The following is a 20,643-nucleotide window of genomic DNA, read 5'->3' as shown; positions in this document are numbered from 1 at the left end:
TTGAACACTATCCATGCACGAAAACACCTTCACAAGAGCTATGGAAACTAGGTGAGAAATCACAGTACCTGGTTGCAGCACAAACTGACCTTTTGGGGGAATAATTAGCAAAACTTGAATATGAACTAGATATTAAGGGCTTAAGTATGACATATGTAAGAGAATGTGTTTACTTTTAGGAGAGACATAAACGAATATGACAAAAAAGCTAACAACCACAATATCCAAATGAAGTATACAGGTGTTTACCGTAATATTCTTTCAATGTGTATGTCTGAACATTCTTCAGTTGGGAGTGATGTGGGAGAATGAAGTCACTTTAAAAAGTGGGTGAGGACGGTGACCAAAATGTTCAGTTGTAAGGAACCAAAAAACAGTAATAGCCGATTCTACTGACAGGTGTAACAAAGAAACACACTGAACTTAAACCAGGTTCCTATGACACATATACTGGAAGATGGAGCCAAAAAAGAGAGGGCATCATTTTACTAAACAATTCCTATCCTCAAAAAGTTTAAAATATCAACCAAAACTCTGCTGATAAAACCTTCTGAAATACACCCAGTATCTATCATTTTCTCAAGAGAAGAAGGGGCTATTAAAGATATACCATTTTTCCTCAATTATAATGATTAAGATGTATGGAAAACTTTGTAATTTTGAAATTTAAGAAGTATGGGAATAGCTTAGAGAATCAAAAACAAAAACTCTTTAAGACCTTACATTTATTTTCATACATAAATGAAGATGGCATGCTAAATCAAAATCAGTATCATTTTGTATCTCTCATATTAATAATGGGTTCTATGAAATTAAATTCTTTCTGCAATCCCTTACATACTACTGGCTGCGCAGATTTATACTGCTATAAGACACAACCATAAGTCCAGCCCCAAAGTTGACTCCTTCAATTAATGACTCAGTATCCTAGGGTTTCTCTGCGAAATTTAAAAATTTTATTCAACACGACTAAGTAGATACTTCTCAAAGCCACCCCCACAATACCTAGATTCTACAGCCTTTTAATTATGACAATATCATTACAACAAATATGTCAGCGCCTTTGATACATGAATGCCCTTTTACACTCCTAATAGACATGAAAATGTTACCCTATACCTTTATCTTTCCCAAACTTTGCAAAAATATCTAGTTTTCTCTGCCATTTTCCCTCCCATTTCTATTCCTAAGGCTATTTCCCCCTTTTCTAATAATTTCTATAATCTGTAGAAACTGGTACCCAAAATCTTACCCTCAGGAAAAACTGAAACCACATATACTACAATTTCAAACAGAGAATCTTATGACATAAACCTTGATCAACCTAACAAATCGCTTTCCTTAAAATGGTGAACTAGATAATTCAAACCAATTATCGTACTGAGAGCAACTAGAAAAACTGGACACCTGCCCAAGTCCCCAGAAAAAATGTTTTAAAAATCAAAACCAAAAAACCTGTTTGAGGGCATCAGAGTGCCAAGGTAGTGAAAAAGCATGAAGACCAAGATCTGGGAGAGTAAGGAAAAGCTCATAAGGGAGTCTGGCATCCGGGGCCATTTCTCCCCCTGAAGGGATCTGCCAATTCCAAAGACGTGGCTGAGAAGCTGAGCTTGAACTTGCAATAGATTTACATGACTAGAGAGGATTAAATATTGGAGTTAAGGGCCCAAGAAAGTGTGAGGGTGGGGGCATGTGGGGCTGATAACATCCCTGGCTTTATGCTAGAACTCCAAGGGGTCATACCTAGAAGTAAATAAAACATAAAATAGACCAGCCTTCGTAGACTCCGGAACCCAGTTTTGAAACATCATAGTCTCTGACTGGATTAAGATGATTCGGGATTGCTAGTGCCACTAGCTTGCCTCCTGCCAAAGTCAACAAAAATCCTCTCTAGAAGGAGATAGCATCATTCCCAAACCTTAAATTATCTATATAATTTTCCTTATATAATGTCTTAAGTTATCCGACACAGACATGCTTAATATATTCAAAAAAGTTTTTTTTTTTAAATCATGAAAGACTGGCACAGTACAAAACCCTGCTAACTTCAAAATTTCAAATACTTCACTCCATAATCGTTACATTCATCTCTGATGAATTCTTTAGGAATTCCCATAGCTGTTCTATGCCCTCCTTACTGCCCTTCAGTCCACATGCACTTGAAAACTTTACTAAAGTAAGAAAAATCAGTCATCCAATCTAAAAGGAATTCATACACTCACAGACAGACCCTCTAACCTGTCTTCTCTGTATATTACCTGAGAGGGAACATACTCCACTAAGTTGCCACAAGCGAGTGAACTAATGGGGAGACACCATAGGTTTTCCAACATTTTCCAACATAACCCATTACACACACACCTCTGTGTGTATCTATATATAAATATACTCACACATCTATGTGAAACACAACTTTCAAAAAATTCTGAACTACAGTAATCAACACACCGTGGGAACCTAAGAATAGACACATAGATCAATGGAATAGAATTCAGAGTCCAGAAATAAATCTGCCTTTTTTTCAAGAATGCCCAAGACAATTTGGTAAGAAAGAACAGTATTTTCAACAAATGGAGCTAGGACAACTGCATGTCTATATGCAAAAGAATTACCTCACATGCCTTCCTTATACCATACACCATAAAATTAACTCAAAATGGATCACAGACCTAAATGTAAGAGCTAAAACTATAAAACTCAGAAGAAAATGCAGAAGTTGTCTTCATGACCTTGAGTTAAGCATTGGCTTCTTATAAAAGATTCCAAAAGCACAAGGGAAAAACAAATACATTGGATTTCTTTATTGAAATTAAAACTTTTTGTGCTACAAATGATGCCATCAAGAAAGTAAAAAGACTACCTCTGAAACAGGAGAAAATATTTATAAACCATACATCTGTTATGCAACTTGTATCTATAATATATAAAGAACTCTTTGGCCAGGCAAGGAAGCTCATGTTTGTAATCCCAGCACTTTTGGAGGCCAAGGTGGGAGGATCACTTGAGCCCAGGAGTTACAGCACCTAGGCGGCACAGTGAGACCCCATCTCTACAAAAAATTTTAAAAATTAGCAGGGCACACCTGTGGTCCTAGCTACTTGTGAGGCTGGGGAGGGAGGATCATTTGTGTACAAGAGTTTGAGGCTGCAGTGAGCCCAGGTTGCATCACTGCACTCCAGGATGGGTGACAGAGCAAGAACCCCATCTCTTAAAAAAAAAAAAAAAAAAAAAAACTCTTACAACGTAATAAAAAGATAAATAACTCAATTTTTAAAATAGGCAAAGAATCTGAAATACTTCTCCAGAAGATATAAAAGTGGCCAAGAAGCACATGAAACTATGTTCAATATCATTAGCTATCAGGGAAGTGCAATTTAAAATCACAATGGGCTATCACTTCACTCTCATCAGGTGGCTATTTTCAAGACAGACAATAACAAGCTTGAATAGGATGTGGAGAATTTGGAATCTTCACACCTTGCTGGTGGAAATGTAAAATGGTGCAGCCACTTTGAAAAACAGTTTGGCAGTTCTTCAAAATAATAAGCATAGAGTTACCCATATGACCCAGCAATTCCACTCTTGGATACATACCCAAGAGAAATGAAAACATACAACACAAAAAAACTTGTGTACAAATGTTCATATTCATAACTTGTGTACTATATTACTTACTATAGCCAAAAAGTGTAAACAATCCAAATGCCCATCAAATGAAGTGTAGGTAAATAAAATGTGGCATATCGTACAACCAAATAATATTTCACCATAAAAAGAAATGAAGGTCAGGCACTGTGGTTCATGCCTCTAATCTCAGCAGCACTTTGGGAGCTCAAGGTGGGAGGATAACTTGAGGCCAGGAGTTCAAGACCAGCCTGGGAAACATAGGGAGAGCCTGCCTCTACAAAAAATTTAAAATTAGCCAGGTGTGGTGGCATGTGCCTGTGGTCCCAGCTACTCAAGAGGCTGAGGCAGGAGGATTGCTTCAGCCCAGGAGTTTCAGCCTGTAGTGAGCCACGATCATGGTACTGCACTCCAGCCTGGGTAACAGGGTGACAGAGCAAGACCTGATCTAATTTAAAAAAAAAAAAAAAAAAAAAAAAAAAAAAAAGGCCGAGCAGTGGCTCACACCTGAAATCCCAGCACTTGGGAGGCCAAGGTGGGGGATCACCTGAGGTCAGGAGTTCAACACCAGCCTGACCAACATGGAGAAACCCTATCTCTACCAAAAATACAAAATAAGCTGGCAGTGGTGGCATGCGCCTGTAATCCCAACTACTGGGGAGGCTGAGGTAGGAGAATCACTTGAACCAGGAAGGCAGAGGTTGCAGTGAGCCAAGATCACGCCATTGCACTCCAGCCTGGGCAACAAGGGTGAAACTCTGTCTCAAAAAAAAAGAAAAGAAAAAAAAACAGAAACGAAGTACTGATACATGATACATGAACCTTAAAAACATCATGCTAAGTGAAATAAGCCAGTCACAAAAGATCGCACAGTGTATGATTCCACTTACATGAGAGATCCAGAATGCGCTGGGTGCAGTGGCTCACACCTGTAATCCCAGCACTTTTGGAGGCTGAAGTGGGTAGATCACTTGGGGTAAGGAGTTCAAGATCAGCCTGGCCAACATGGTGAAACCCTGTTTCTACTAAAAATACAAAAAAATTAGCCAGGCCTAGTGGCAGGCACCTGTAATCGCAGCTACTCGGGAGGCTGAGGCAGGAGAATTGCTTGAACCCGGGAGGTGGAGGCTGTAGAGAGCCGGGATCACGCCACTGCACTCCAGCCTGGGCAACAGAGCAAGACGTCATCTCAAAAAAATAAAAAAGAGATAGCCAGAATGAACAAAACTATAGAGAAGAAAGTGGGTAAGTGGCTGTTTAGGGCCAGGGAGAGGAGGGGGTGTGTGTGAAGAAATGGGGAGTGACTGCTAGTGAGTATGAGGTTACTTTCTGGGGTGACAAACATGTTCTAAAGTTAGGCTGTGATGATGGCTCCATTATTCCAGGAATATACTAAAAAAGCTTTGAGCTGTATATTTCAAATAGATAACTATAATGGTATGTGAATTATATCTCAATAAAACCGTTAAAAAATTCTTAGTCCCTTATTACACATGACACACTATGGTATTTTCTATTTCATTTCTTTTAACAACGTAACAGAAATTGTGATCTCCCAAAATTCTATAACCTACTAATGGGTCATGAGTAACAGTCTGAAAGCACTGCCACAGAGTCCTACAACACTAAAAGTGATAACCACCATCTCCTGTATCAGGACTAATCCTCTCATACCTCACATCCCTGCTTATGGTCACCAGAAAAAATCCAGCTCTCCCTGGTTATCTATTATTCTCTGAATTCTCACTGCCACACTGCTGTGTACGTCCTCCATTTGACTCAATTCTTCATCCTCCTAATTCCTTTACTTGGCCTTCTGAAATTCCCAATTTGTGACAAGCAAACTTAGCCTGTTACACTACCTTTAACCTTTCTTGTTCGTCTAGCCTCCCTCCAATTCTTCCTTATTCATTGAGGACATTACAACTGGTTTACAGTACGTACCCTTACTCCCCTCACTAGTTGCTGATTTCACCATGCATGCAGACTGACCCTTTTTTAATACCTCAGACTCTTTAACTCATTGGCCTCCTCACGTTCAGGATTTGTCTCTGAATTCCACCTCGGAAGCCCACACCCAAAGTTAACCTGAGCATTATTAATGTCAATAATTGTCATACTTGTGAAATCTCTCTTTCAGGTATTCCACTCTGACCATGGCATTCAATCTTTCAAGTTAACTTACTCAAACCCTGTGGCCAGTTACACACTCAACCACCACCACACAATAAGCATTCTAGTTAAAAGGTCCTTATTTCCCTTGTCCCCCTTTCCTTCTTTTGAACTGATCTGGTGTGATGGTTAGTTTTAAGTGTCAATTTGGCTAGTCTGTAGTACCCAGTTATTCAAACACTAATGTAGTTGCTGTGAAGGTATTTTGTAGATGTGATTAATATCTACAAACAGTCAAGTTTAAGTACAGGAGCTTATCCTTGATACCGTGGGTAGGCCTCATCCAATCACTTGGTAAGGCTTTAATAGCAAAAACAAGTTTCCCTGAGAAAAACAAAATTCTGCCTCAAGGCTGCAGTATTAACTCCTGACCAAGAATTTCCTGCCTGCCCTACAGATTTCAGACTTGCCAGCCCTCACAAAAACAAATGCCTTAAAATCTCAGTCTACCTACCTATAACTCCGATTTGCTGTTTCTCTGGAGAACTCTAATACACCTGGCAAAATCTCACCCTGGGTAAATTCAACTACCTGCCTTAATCTGTGCCTGTAACTAATCAGCTAAATAATGCTGGGGGGGTGGGGGGTCACAAAACCAGGCTGACTGATATCACTTTAAATTCAAGATTTTAAACCTTAAATGAACAATCAATACTTCTTGGCAAACTGCTTCAAACTCCCCAAACTCCCATCCCTTTCTGCCCGTATGAATCTCATGCTTCATTGAGCAAACAGAAACCACAGAGAAGATGAAAGCCAGGAGAATAGGCCTTCACCTTCCAACTTCCAAACTTCCTCGCAAGGGCACACAACTTTTCTGCATTTCCTCCTGTTAGATGGAAAAGATCTCTCCTCTACTGAGGGCCAAACTCTCTACCCGTACTCTGCATCCCCTTTCCTACATACAGCAATGCCATTTTCACTCATTTTCTGAGCCTCACAATTTCCTTTATCCACCAACCCATTTCTTTGTTCACTTCAGAGCTAATCTTAAAAGAGTGGTCTGCACCCACTGTGTCAGCACTTGCTCATTTCTCACTCTTTTTCAAAGTGTTTCATTCAGGGGCTGGGTGTGGTGGCTCACGCCTATAATCCCAGCACTTTGGGAGGCGGAGGTGGTAAGATCACGAGGCCAGGAGTTTCAGACCAGCCTAGGCAACACAGTGAGACCCCATCTTTACAAAAAACTTAAAAATTCGCCAGCCGAGTCCCAGCTACTCGGGAGGCTGGAGGCTGAGACAGGAAGATTCACTTGAACCCAGGAGTTTAAGGCTGCAGTGATCTACGATCACACCACTGCACTCCAGCCTGGGCAACAGAGGGAGACCCTGTCTTTAAAAAGAAAAATCATTCATTGTTTTTTAACCATCTTCAACTTGGCTTCTTTCTTCCCACTTTAATAAAACCACCCAACAAGATCACCAACAACTTCCCATATAATCTCTCTATGCCTGTTTCCTCATGTATAAAATGGGAGTAACAGTGCCCACCTTGTAGGGTTGCTGTGGGATGTTTAAACAATTTAACATACATAAAGCACAAGAACAGTGCCTGGTATATGATAGGCACCAAATATGCATTAGCTCCTATACCATTAGGATAGTCTGGATACTTGTTTTCCCGAGGTTCTAACTTTTTGTTTCTAGCTTACTTAACGATGTATGCGTCCTTCAGTAGAAAACTGCCTTAGCTTTTTGGTGGGAGCAGGGGAAGGGAAGAAGAGACAGAAAATAAACTATTTAATCCCCATTAAGCAATGAGATCTCTACTGAAGTTCAGCTAAGTACCTAACTACCATATAATTTTATAAGGATGAGCAACCTGCCCCAATCCAGTTGCCAAATCAAACTCACTCTTTGCACCCTCTCACTCCTGTGCTTTCCTGACTTGATTTTTGCATTTTTCCAAGCTTAAGACCCTCCTGTCTACATTCATTCACTTCATACTTCTCATATCTTGACCTCTACTTTGACTGCATGCTCTCTGACACCAGACTAAATTATATTTCCGGGAGCTGCCTCTGGGTGCTAAGCACATAGAAAGCAGCCTATACACATAGTCACACCTTGCTTAAGGACGGGGATACCTTCTGAGAAATGCATCATTAGGCAATTTCGTCACTGTGCAAACATCATGGAATCTACTTACACCAACCTAGATAGTACAACATACCTAAGCTATAATATGGTGTAGCCTACTGACCCTAGGCTACGAACCTGTACAGCAGGTTACTGTACTGAATACTGCAGGCAACTGTAACACAATGGGAAGTATTTGTGTATCTAAACATAGAAAAAATAGAGTAAAAATATGGTATAATTTTATGGGACCACTGTCACATATGTGGTCTGTAATGGACCGAAACCTCACCATGTGGTGCATGACTGTATCATCAAATAAGACACAAGGCAGTTAACTGCTAATCCTACATTCACTATCAAGTGATCCCCAACTTGTCCATTTAACATTTTGAAAACCACAATTCATTTCAAGTTACATTAACTTTAGAGAGAAAACTTCACACTACTTTAAGTATTCCCATAATCCCTCCCTAATTTCATTATTATTCATAACATTTAAATACTCAACAGATAAACAGATATTTTGGCTCATTTTACATATAATGGAGGAAAACTATAATCTTCTAAAATCACCACTATAAATGCAATAAGAAAAAATATAAGAGTATAAAAAGTTGGGGGAGGGAGGAGGTAAAAATCAAAGGAAACAAAAAAGCTGGCATGACATAAGAAAAATAAAAAATTCAACTACAAAACTATTAGAAATAATAAATATTCTACAGGGGGCTTATTATTTAATATATGAAATATTAACTAATATACAAAATAAAAAGCTTTCTTATATATAACCAGATAGAAGATAAAAGTGGAAAAAAAGATGCCATTTCCAGCAAAAAAAAAAAAACTTAAATATATAAAACAGCAAAAAAAAATTTTAATGTTTAAAAATGCTATCAGGAACTCAAAATGAGACTTCAACAAATGAAAAGGTTGTTTTTCCTATTCTTGGATATAAAGGTACATCATAAAGCTGTCACTTATTCTATAAATACAAAGAAATCCTAACAGTACACTGAATCCATTTAATAGAAGCCAATCACTGGGGAGCAAGGTAACTTGAAAAGGATGTAAGAAAAGGTTCTGGGTGATGGAAGTGTTCTGTATTTTGATCTGGGATTGCACAAGTGTATACAAAGGCAAACTTATTGGACTGTAATGCTTGTGCATCTAGCTGTGCATAATTTTACCACAATAAAATAAAAAAAGTGATTCCAACAGAAAGACTGGCAGAGGAGGGGTACAGACTAGACTAGATGGGTTGTTTTTAGAAGTTCATATAAAATAAACAAGATAGAAGCCAGAAAAAAACTTCTGAAAAGGAAGAGAAATAAAAGGGAATTAGACCTAGCAGAAAACACAGCATAAACTACAATAATAAAAACAGGATGGCTCAGGTCCCAAACAGGCAGATGGGTCAATGGAAACAATGGTACCAAATACACGTGGAAATTTTGTAAATGGTAAAGGTGGCATTTTAAATCAGTTAAGACAAAGATGGATTATTTAATAAATGGTGTAGGGACAAATGGATGGATATCTGGTGAAGAAAATAAAGTTGGAACCATACATAATAGCCTACCATAGAATGGAAAACAGCAAATTGGGGAAAAACATTTCCAAAAAATAGCATGGAGCCAATTTGTAAAATTAATCCTACAAATCTAGGAAAATGAGCAACAAAGCAATAGAAAAACATGCAAAGACAAGGACAGTTCAAAAGAAAGAAAACACAAACAGCCCTTAAAAGATGAAAGACGTCTAAGGGTAATAAGAAGCAGGCATCCTTACACAGTGCTGGTGGAATGGAAGTTGGACAACCTCTACAGGCTACACTTCAGCAATACATAAAATTACAAATGCACATACGCTGGCCTAGGAACTCTACCTCTGGAAATTTATCCTATGCATTTAAGTGCAACACGACGTATGCACAAGGTAATCCACTGCACCATGGCTTTTGATAGCAAAAGTCTGAAAACTACCTAAATATGCATCAGAAAGGAGTTAAATGGTATACCAGTATAATGATGTTATGGACTGTCTGTGTCCCTCCAAATTCATATGTTGAAGGCCTACCCTCTAACTTGATAGTATCTGGAGGAGAGACCTTTAGGAGTTAACTAAGCCTCTCATGACTATATTAGGTCATGAGGGTGGAGCCCCCATGATAGGATGAGGAACAGACTAGAGCTCTTAGGGGCCATGTGAGGATACATCCAGAAGCCGGCCACCTATAAAGCCAGGAAAAGGACCCTCACCAGGGAACCAAATTGACTAAGTAGCCTAATCTTGAACTTCCCGACCTCCAGAACTGTGAGAAATAAATTTCTGTTGTTTAAACCACTCAAGTTATGGTATTTTGATATAGCAGCCCAAACAGAGTAAGACAAATGGAATACCACAAAGATGTTAAAAAAGCATGCCATTTACATACTGATATGACTGATATAAAATAATCTCTCAGCTATATTAAAACAAAAAGCAGGCCACGTGCGGTGGCTCACACCCGTAATCCCAGCACTTTGGAGGCCAAGGCAGGTGGATCACCTGTAATCCCAGCTACTCAGGAGGCTGAGGCAGGAGAATCACCTGAACCTCGGAGGCAGAGGTGGCAGTGAGCTGAGATTGTGCCACTGCACTCCAGCCTGGGCAACAAGAGTGAGACTCCGTCTCAAAAAACAAACCAACAAGCAAAAAACAAAAAAGCAAAAGGTGATACATATTGCATGCAACAACTTACATTAAATAAAAAGGGAGGGAGCAGAGCAGAGGCTATACAGTACTGTATATATGTATGACACCTATCCTTCATTGGCAAAGCCAAAATCCATAAAGCTGTGAAAAATACGTTTTTAAAATAAGTTTAGTACAAACGTATTTGGTGGTAAAACCTGACGAGACGTAGCATAAGATTTTATAATCTTTATTCACCCTACTTGTATTTGTTATGCTTTTATAAAAATATTAATGTCTTTGATTATTTCTGGGTGTTGTTGTTGTTGTTGTTTTTTGAGACAGAGTCTACACCTCTGCCGCCCAGGCTGGAGTGTAGTGGCACGATCTCAGCTCACTGCAACCTCCGCCTCCTAGATTCAAGAGATTCTCCTGCCTCAACCTCCCAAGTAGCTGGGATTACAGGCGTACGCTACCACGCCCAGCTAATTTTTGTATTTTTAGTATAGACGGGGTATCACTATGTTGGCCAAGCTGGTCTCAAACTCCTGACCTCAGGTGATCCGCCCGCCTCGGCCTCCCAAAGTGCTCAGATTACAGGCGTGAGCCACCGCGCCTGGCCTATGTCTGTATTTTTTACAGAAATGTTAATGTGTTTAATCATGAGGCTACAACCTCTTACTAGGGATTTTGGATAACACGGTAGATGTGCTACATTATCTTTCCACAACTGCAAAAAAAGCCTTCATTCTAAAATACATCTGGACCAAGGATTTTGAACAAAGGATTATATACTTAAACATATATAAACTATCTTTGGAAGTATTCACAGGAATTTTAACAGTTTCCAGGCAGAAGAACTAGGTGGCTACACAGAGTAGAAAAGGAGATTCTTTATCTTTTTAAATCTTTGGAATTTTGAGTCAAAGTGAATTCATTACTACTTAGTCAAAATATAAAATGTAAACAAATTAAAACATTAAGACTTTTAAATTCTCAATAGTAACAGCCAAAGCTAGATGCTTTGGTTTTTGTTTAACTGAAAAGTGACGCTTTCTCAAGTCACAGAAAAATCCACACAGCAGTAGCTTTTCTTTATCTTACCTTTGGTTGACCCAATGGCATCTGAAAATCAGAAAGCCATCCTTCCTGGAACAAGTCAGAAAATGGTGATTTTTCTACCCAATTAATGACTTTTAGGAAATAACATCTTATGGTTTTGATGTTTCCTGCCAAGCAAAGCAAGTGCTTGTGTGTGGCTATTTTTCGTTTCTAGTTTCCCCAGAAATATGGTGGGTGGCAGGCTTGAGTCTCTCAGCACCAAGAGGCAGTACTGGAGGACTATACTTCTCAATACTGGAGAGAGACTTTAAAAAGTGTTTCTAGTACAGATCCAGCCTTACATCATAAGAGCTTCAATACAGAGGAGATTGAGAACTCTGGTTAGTACCTGAGTAGCATCTTTTCTACTGTCAGCTTTTCATATTTCTCATATACTTATTTTGATACCCTGTTGTATTCCAAAATGAATTCATAAGGTTTGCCTTTTCTTATGATTTGGATTTTGACTAATGTGCACCACACTCTCAACTTAAACCAGGAATCAGAAAAGAAGATATCTTGCTTTCTCAGGTTTATCGAGTGAGTACAAAGGCATGGCAAGAGATGTAAGGTTTGGAAGGCCCCAAATGCCCCAATGACAAAAGAAATTCCTAATGAAATGACTAACAATATTTGCTTCCTTGTGTTAGGACATAAATGTGCTTACGTTAATCCTTATCTTCTATCAAATTATACTCAGCTCACTGAGGGTAGAAACTGACTTCTATTTCCTTTGGTTCCTACATCACCGAATACCTGGATTAGTATAGTGCAATGCTCAGTAAATACTGCCGAAGTAAAAACCAGTGTCATCTCATAGTAGATGCTCTTGAGAAGGAACAAGAAATTTAATCCACCATTATAATCATAGAAACGCTAAACAGAAGACTTAGAAAACCACAGAAAATACAGAAAAGATAATATTTCTAAGTGGTACTAATAAATAATCTCCCTCATTTTTTAAGAGGCCTCCAGGCCTCAATGAATTGTTGTGGTTACCAGGTCTCTGACAAATCTGCAATCTTCACAGAATCGAAGATCCCAATAACACTAAATTTAAAAGATGTGACAGCATTCCATTTTCTTCAAATGTGTCACATGATAAAGCTATTCGTAGCTCCTAAATTCTCATTCCTTTAGATGTCTATAACAAACCTAGGAAAGCTTAGGCAATTTTCTCCTGTGGGAAAAGGCAAAAAATCGTGAAAGTGGCAAATATGTTCCCTTCAATATTTGCTTCTGGAACATTTCCAAATTTTAAGATAGAGAGGATTACTGGTCCAAATGTTAATATAAATCATCTCAGTCAATTCAGATTACATGAGATGATCGAATTTTAAATAAACCCCCCAGAGATGCAGAGTGAAACAAATGGCATATTCTGGAGAATTAGAATGGACACTGTGCATTAAACTGGTTTGACGTTTACTTGGCATTTTATGTTTGTTCAAAGTTAAATATAAGTGATAACAATAGCAAAAACTACCTGAATACTTGTATCTAGCATTCCAGCCACCACAACAGTGCCAGGCACTTTACATGCAGTACCTAATTTAAACCTCACAGCCCTATGAGGTTACGTGCTATTATTATTCTCATTTGACAGATAATAAAACAGGCCCAAATATGTTATATAACCTGAACTAGCCTATACCACAGTTAGATTGGAGCACGATTAGAACTCAGGGCTGACCTTAAAACCCACGCTAGCAATCATTGTAAGGTTTGAGTTCCTTGACTTTCTAAAGAATGGCAGATTTTAACTAAATCTGAAATATAATAAAGGGTAACAGGAAACACAGGTATCTCTTGTATTTGTGATATAACCCACCTCCAAGAAAAAGAATGGAAGCTACTAAGTTTTCCAAAAAGGGGTCTCCTCTCTGTCTCTCTCCATGCACATACGTATACACACATACACACACACACACACACACACACAATTTTAAAAACTGGATTTCAGTGAAATTTGGCCTGCACAGAGATGTGAAGTGGGCTTTTGTTTGGCGGGAACCCTTTCATATACCTTTTAAAAGAGCATAAATTAACTGTTTAGCGATGCCTTCAGTCTAATCCTTGATTATAAGCTTCCTGAGGATAATGAACTCATTTTATGTCTTCCACAAAGTCTCTGGGAGCATACGGTCTCATTAGAAGGCATGATGCTGTGGAATAAATAAAAGCCTACCTTTCCAAGAATCTCTAGCTTATGGTGAAGCCTTCCATTTGTTTTCTAAGTCTGGATATTAAAGAAAAAATTCAACTCAACAATTTTTTTGGCTTCTGAAAATTACAAAATTACAAAATCCTAACTTTGACTACTGTTCTTAACTTAGGCTTCTGATTATCACCCAAGAAGGGCTCTTTTTGTCCTAGTATGTTTTCTCAAGAACCACCTATCTGAGGAACAAGCCTTCTATAAAAAAAAGTTCTGACAGCCTCAGTTTATACTTTTAAAGCCAAAAACATTAAGGCACTTGCCTAAAGCTCCAGAATTTGATGACAAAGTCCAGATGGCAGAACTGAGAAATGAACCTAGGTCTGATTCCTGGATTGCTCTAGCTCCACCTATTGACCTGAATGACAGGATAACTCATTTCAATACTCCTGTTACCTTTCAGTCAACTCACTTCTGAAATCAAAGTTCAACTTAACCTGCATTAAGAGTAAGAATGCAAGGCTTCTAAATGTTCAGGTAAAGAGCTCATGATTAAGACAATCAGCATCACAGTTCACTGACATAGGCAAATGATTCATATATAAAGCTATGTGGTTATAATGACTTCCTTGGACCACATGAATCAGAAAAGCTACTACCCATACCATTGACTTGACCAGAGACCTCTAGAGCACTGGAATCCTAATGTCAGACATTATTTTGTATTTCCACTCGTGCAACAAAGCATCTCAACCATGTAGATGACTGAAATATGTCAAAATTCAACCCGCTGGCAAAGCAGACCAACAAGAAGCAGGCTCCTATTCAACAACCTCTTAGCACTAGGATAGTTGGGGACTAGTCATTTAACAACAAATTCCTTCAAGTTGTTTCACTGAACATCTCATCCTCACAAGGTCACTTTGATAATATCAGGCATGGAGCAAATAGTTAAGATTATAACCACATTAATTTGTATACAATTTATTCTTGCACTGACTTCCTTTCCAAATGGCATTTCCCCCAGGATCTAAAGGAGTATGAAGGATATAGTTTCCTATTCTGCCAGGACAGGACATTTAAAAGGAGCCCTTTTCATACTTACTAAAGGAATATATTTACTAACAGAATCGATGCTATATCTCTTACTTTAAAGGATAATTTGAAGTGAAATTCAGAGTGACTGCTAATGGATATGGTGTTTCTTCTTGGGGTGATGACAATGTTCTGGAATTAGTGATGGTGATCAAGGCACAACACTGTGAAAATACTAAAAACCGAAATATATACACTCTAACTGGTGAATTTTATGTCAATTAAATTGCAATAAAGCTATTTTTAAAAACCAACAATTTGGAAAACAAAGTAACACAACTCTGGTTCTTTACACAGCCTGTGAGCTACTGCCAAAGGATTGTCAGTAACCCCTACTAGAATCTGACATACCCTAACTAGGTAAAGCAATAAAACTTTGGTATCTCAAAGATTTTCAACCATCATCTTAAAAAAGTATTATTTTCTTATTTCTTCATTTCCACTTTACAGCAAATAATAAGAAACTCATTAGTTAACTCATTTCATATTCTTTCAAATACAAAACAAACGCTAAACTGTATTTAGTAAGTGGAAAAGAGCTTTAACTTCGATAAATCAATTATTTTGAGTTTTAGGCTCATATTTTGTACCAATTGTGTTAATACAAGTTAGAACTTAAAACCAAACATTTCAAGTAAACATTTCTAAAATATTAGAAATATTTCTAATAAAACATTTATGTGGTTTTGTCCTCAATTTTCCACAATAAGAGTCACCAAAAAACTTTCAAATAATATTCACAAAATTATAAATGCAATCATTTTAGACCCCTACTGAAATACCAGTTTATGAGTGCCTGTGTGTGGATTACGTACATGCACACACACGGACACACATAAACTAGCACATACACAGAAACACACACTCCACAACCTACTTTATTTATCATATTAAAAAAATATTTAGACAAGATTTTATTTTAGGACAGTGAATGACCTACACGTGATTCAAAAGCCCATGTCATCATAACAGATAATGTACATGAACTGACCATTTAGCCATCTGATGCGACAGTTGCATGAAGCTTCCAAAACTTTATGGAGAACATTACGGTTTTTTTTAAGGCTTGATTTTAAATATTATCAATTACAAAGAGCTTTTCATCAATCCGACTTTTATTGAACACTTACTATATTCCAGGCTAGGTGGTGGAGAAACAGATGCAAGACAGGCCTGCCCTCAAGGAAGTCCCATTTTGATTGCTTGCTTTTGTCAGGCACAGCACTAAACATGTTCACTTAGAGCATCTGACCTCCTAGGTTTAACGTTAACCACAGCAGGGGAATCTGAGGTAACCATTACAAATGACTGTAAGGCTGCAAGACTGGAAAAAATAAAATTTAGAAATAAATAAAAGCTGTTGTATATTTAGACCAAATCTAATTCTACTTCCTATTACACTTGAACTTCCAGATATACTGCTTAAAAAATGACCCAGAATATAACCATACCTTCCTTAACAGACATCACTTATGTAACTGTCTCATTTAAAGGTCCATCTATTATACTTCAGTCAAAGCATCCTCTTCCATGAAAGGATACTTTACCTTCACACCAAACCTCTTCATCTGAGTACGGTACTAAACAGCTGCTGAATGAATGAATGAATGAAAAAACAGATGTTCTAATTGCCAAGGAGGTACTTGCTGGATGCTTATCTCAAAACACAATGGACTGACGGACCAGAATTCTACTGGAAAGATCGCTGGATTTCAGAGGTAAAAATAGTAATCACTGGACAATGCCATGTAGTCAACATGTTATTAAATTCGCAGTAAAGACCAAGCAGGGAACTTTCAGAAATAAAAACGGAAAGTGTTCATCAGGGTACTTTAAAATGGACTTGGTTCTACCATCTCTGAATCGGGAACACAAATGCGAGACAAAGAGATGGGAGGGTGGGGTGAAAAAGTCAAAAGGTCACCACCGATGACCCTCAAGAGAAATGCGCGCTGACCACCGAAGCTCGGGCCAAGCTGGATGGACACCTCCCACCCGAGCCACGGGCCTGGGCTCTCTGCCCTGCAGCCCAGAGCTGCAGGCCACTCTGGCCCTTTTCAGCGCTGCTGCCTGCGTTCGCCCAGAACGTTAGCACAAAGAAAGCATCGAGAAGCAAAATACGGTCCCTATGGGCGCGGGGCAGGCTTGGGGACCTGCCGGCAGAAGCGCTCTCCCCGGCTCCCCGCCGCCCCGGAGGCAGCCAGGGCGCGGCGGGCCGCAAAGACACCTCCGTCCGACCCTTGCCGAAGTGTTTCAGAACTTGCCACCCACCCCCCCGCTCCATTTTCTTCTCCCGCCGCGGAGGCAGGACCCACGCGAAGAGGACGCGAGAGGACAGGCGGGCGGGGCTCGCGGCGGCAGGCGGGCTGGCGGGCAGCGGAGCGCACCCAGGTCCCGCAGCCCCACGCCCCCTCGGCTGGCCCCCGCCTCCGCGCCGCTATTGTTCCCGCGCCGCCCCCGCCCACCGCGCGCTCCCGCCCCCACTCCCAGGAGGGGGTTACGGCTGAGGAGAAGGCGGCGGCGGCGGCAGCGGCACAATAACATAAACACGACGGGGCCGCCTGCCGTCCCGGCCCTGCGGCGTCCGCCGCACTCACCCGGCAGCGCAGCGAACGGCGACAGGGAAGCCCGCCAGCGGGGACAGGGGCCGTCCGGGGTGGTCGCCGCGGCCGTTACCCAGCGCTGCTCGCGGCTCCGCAATCCAAGCCGCGTCGTCCGGCCTCGGCCGCTCGGCTGAGTAACAGAGACGCGGGCCGTCACCGCGCACGCCCGCGCACGTCATCGCGCAGGGCCCCGCCCCCGCGCCTCCCGAGCGGCCGGCGGGGCGGGGCAGCCCCGGGGCCCGGATTGCGGGGGCGGGGCCGCCGCCCGGGGACGGCGCTACTCCAGGGGTTACGAGAGGACTTGCGGAGGTCGCTTGGAGGCGGAGCCGCGGAGAGAGCCTCCGAGGGCTGTGGGTGAGGGGCGTGGCCTGGAGCGGGAGGGGCGGGCCCTGTGGCGGCACGTGGCGGCGCGTGGCCCCAGGGGACCGCATCTGGTTGGCGGCGGTAGCCAGGTCAGAGCTTAAGCCTTCGGGCCTCGTCGGCACAGGGTTGAAGGGCAGGTGCGCTTAGGCCTAACCTGCGCAGCGAACAGGCACCCCCTTCCGGTACACACACCTGAGTGATGAAGAGCTGGTTACCTTGACCGACAATATGTTCCATTCTGAGGACACCTGTCCGGGTCCCAGAAACCTACAGAGAGATAAGTGTTCTCTTCAGCTGCCCGGGAAAAGCTGCCTCCAGTTTTTCCAAAATCCACCTCCTCCGAGATTCCTTGCAAATCCACCTCTTCCCAGATTCCTTGCATTACCTGGTTTACTTCTGAGGCCCCACAAAGCGTGTAAATGTTACAGAAGCGATAAATTGACAAGTCCTTTAAATATCCAACAACGGGTGGAAAGGCGTTTGAACTACCTACACCATTCGGTAGAATACATTTTAGCAATTTAAATGCCATGTGTTCAAGGAATTCTTAACAACATAGGAACATGTTCACAATGTATCATTAAGAGAAAGAAGCAAGAAACAAGTCATATATAGAATGGTCCCACTTAGATACTATATATACACATAGAAAAAACCTGGAAAGAAATACACCAAATTATGTTAACAATGGTTCATCATTGGACTATGGAATAAAGGGTGACTTGGTTCTCGTTTATACTTTGGGTATTTTCTCATGTTTTCCGAGAGGAATAGTTATGTTCACAATCAGAAACAAGTAAGTTACTTTAATAATGAATATATAAATATTTGTTGAATAAATGAATGATTTCAGGTAAACTACTTTCCTATTACATGTGGGGCTGGCCTGTTTCTGGTGATTCTGAAAGGGAACATACAGATGATTATTCATTCATTCTCTTCCCATTTCCTCTCTCCCTCCCTCTCAACCTTCTTAATTTCCTTCCTGCCATCCTTTGTTCCTGCAATAATTATTTATTGCATGCCCATTCAGTGCCAGGCAATACAGTAGAGTTTACAGATTTAATCACTGTACTATGAAAGTAATAATAGTAAACGCAAAATTATCACTGTTTTATAATACAAATTGTTAAGGATACATAATACTATGAAACCAATTAATACACTAGTTAATAAGGCCAGAAAAGATTTCCCTGAGGAACTGTCACTTGAGCTGGGAATAGGTTTGACTAGACAGAGAATATTTTAGAGGTAGCTTTGCACGCAAAGGTCCTCTGATGAGATTAAGCAGGATAAGATGGAGAAATTCAGGAAAGGCCAGCTCTGCTGGAGGAGCAAGGAAGAAGGAGCTATGAGATGAAGTCAGGAAGATTGGTAAAGGGACCAAACGTAGGACATCCATATTGGCCATGTTGAAAATCTTTTTATCCTAAGTGCAATGGGAAGCCCCTGACATATTCAGCAAAGGGTGTGGCATGGTCAGAATAGCTTCTTGAAAAGATTCCTTATTGGAAAGAGCCCAGGTGGATGTAGGAGTAGCCTAGACGGTAAGAGGTGGAAGCTTGATCTAGGGTGATGGTCATGGAAATAGTTGATGGACATGGAAAGATCTGTGAATTATTTAGGAGGTCCAACGGGCAGAACTTGCACATTCTCCAAGTGATGGGTTATGTGGGGCAATGAAGGAGAGGGAGTCATCAAGGAAAACTCAAAGGTTTCTGGCTTGTGGCCAAGGATGGATGTTAGTGCTGGTTTACCAAGATGGGAATCTTGGAAAAGGACCAGACTGGCATTAAAATATCATGAGAGCAGGCTGTTTGGCTGTTTGAAGGCTTTTGAGATGCCCAAAACTGATGTTAAGTTGGTGGTTGGATATACAGAGCTGAGGTTCAGCTAGTTAAGAGACGAATCATTGACAGTGAGTGATTCCTTGAAGCCTTGGGATAGATGGGTCAGCCTAGGCCTGAGGAGAGGGCCTGCAACCAGGCTTGGGGAACTTCAGTGTTAAAGGGCCACAAAGGGGAAGATGAGTCTGTGATGAGCTGCCAGGGAGATAGAAGGATAACCAGGAGAGAGGTGTTCAAGAAGAAAGGGCTGATCAATAATATTAAACATAAGAGGAGGCTTGGAATCCTGGAGTAATAGAACCAGAAGTGAATTAGAGTGGGCTGGGAAATGAATGGGAGGTGAGAAAATAAAGGTGGTGAATATGGATGAGTCGGGCAGTGAAGTAGGACACAAGCATATTTTACATCTGATGGGAAGACTGTTGAGAGGGAGAGGTTGAATACACACAAAAGAGAAGGAAGACGTGTGTTTCCAGAGAGAACGGGGTGTGATTGAGTGCACAGACAGAGGTACCACCTACTCTTCACCAGACAAATTAAAGGCCTGGAGGTAACAAAAAACAATACAACCCTTAGAGCTGTTGTGAAGTGAGGGGAGTTGCTGGGAGCAGAGCTCCAGAGTTTCACGCCCAGTTCTGTGATGCTATTGTTAATAACCGCCTCTGTCTCACTCCACAGAGTGAGCTTCTGACTTAGTATCAGTCTACCATGGTCAGCTTCTGATTATCTACAACTAGAAAGAACATTCCACATATTTACATATGTGCGTTTGTGTGTTTGTGTGTGTGTATGATTGATTTCAGAAAGCATTTTGCTATTTCTGATGGAATGTAATTATCTCTGATATTCTGCAAATTCAAAATGCTTTTCTGTAACCCAGATGCAGTGTTGGGCCTTCTTCTTCCTTTTCATGCAATTCTTTCTTG

General features: G+C 40.7%; 1 protein-coding gene across 26 annotated transcripts in view, besides 1 other annotated feature; it reads right to left on the bottom strand.

The window, feature by feature from the left end:
- The window catches only part of MAPK8 (mitogen-activated protein kinase 8), a 132,684-nt gene extending 115,038 nt beyond the window's left edge, over positions 1-17,646 (bottom strand). For 14 of the 26 annotated variants that reach the window (NR_136583.2, NR_136584.2, NR_136585.2 and 11 more), the window contains exon 1: positions 17,502-17,646. The gene's annotated coding sequence lies outside the window, so the exon portion shown is untranslated. Of the gene's footprint in view, positions 1-16,034; positions 17,095-17,501 lie in introns of those variants that run through there. The other 12 variants (XM_047425482.1, XM_047425480.1, NM_001323302.2 and 9 more) reach the window with 2 other exon arrangements.
- Positions 17,066-18,015: a silencer, noted in NCBI's record as "silent region_2355". NCBI's record gives its function as "represses an Ori minimal core promoter by ATAC-STARR-seq in GM12878 lymphoblastoid cells {active_cell/tissue: GM12878}" and the evidence as "EXISTENCE:reporter gene assay evidence [ECO:0000049][PMID:35858748]".

The sequence above is a fragment of the Homo sapiens genome, chromosome 10 (genome assembly GCF_000001405.40).
Source record: "Homo sapiens chromosome 10, GRCh38.p14 Primary Assembly".
Lineage (NCBI taxonomy): Eukaryota > Metazoa > Chordata > Mammalia > Primates > Hominidae > Homo > Homo sapiens.
The sequence above is the reverse complement of the archived record's forward strand: the minus strand, read 5'-3'. Positions and strand labels throughout refer to the sequence as shown.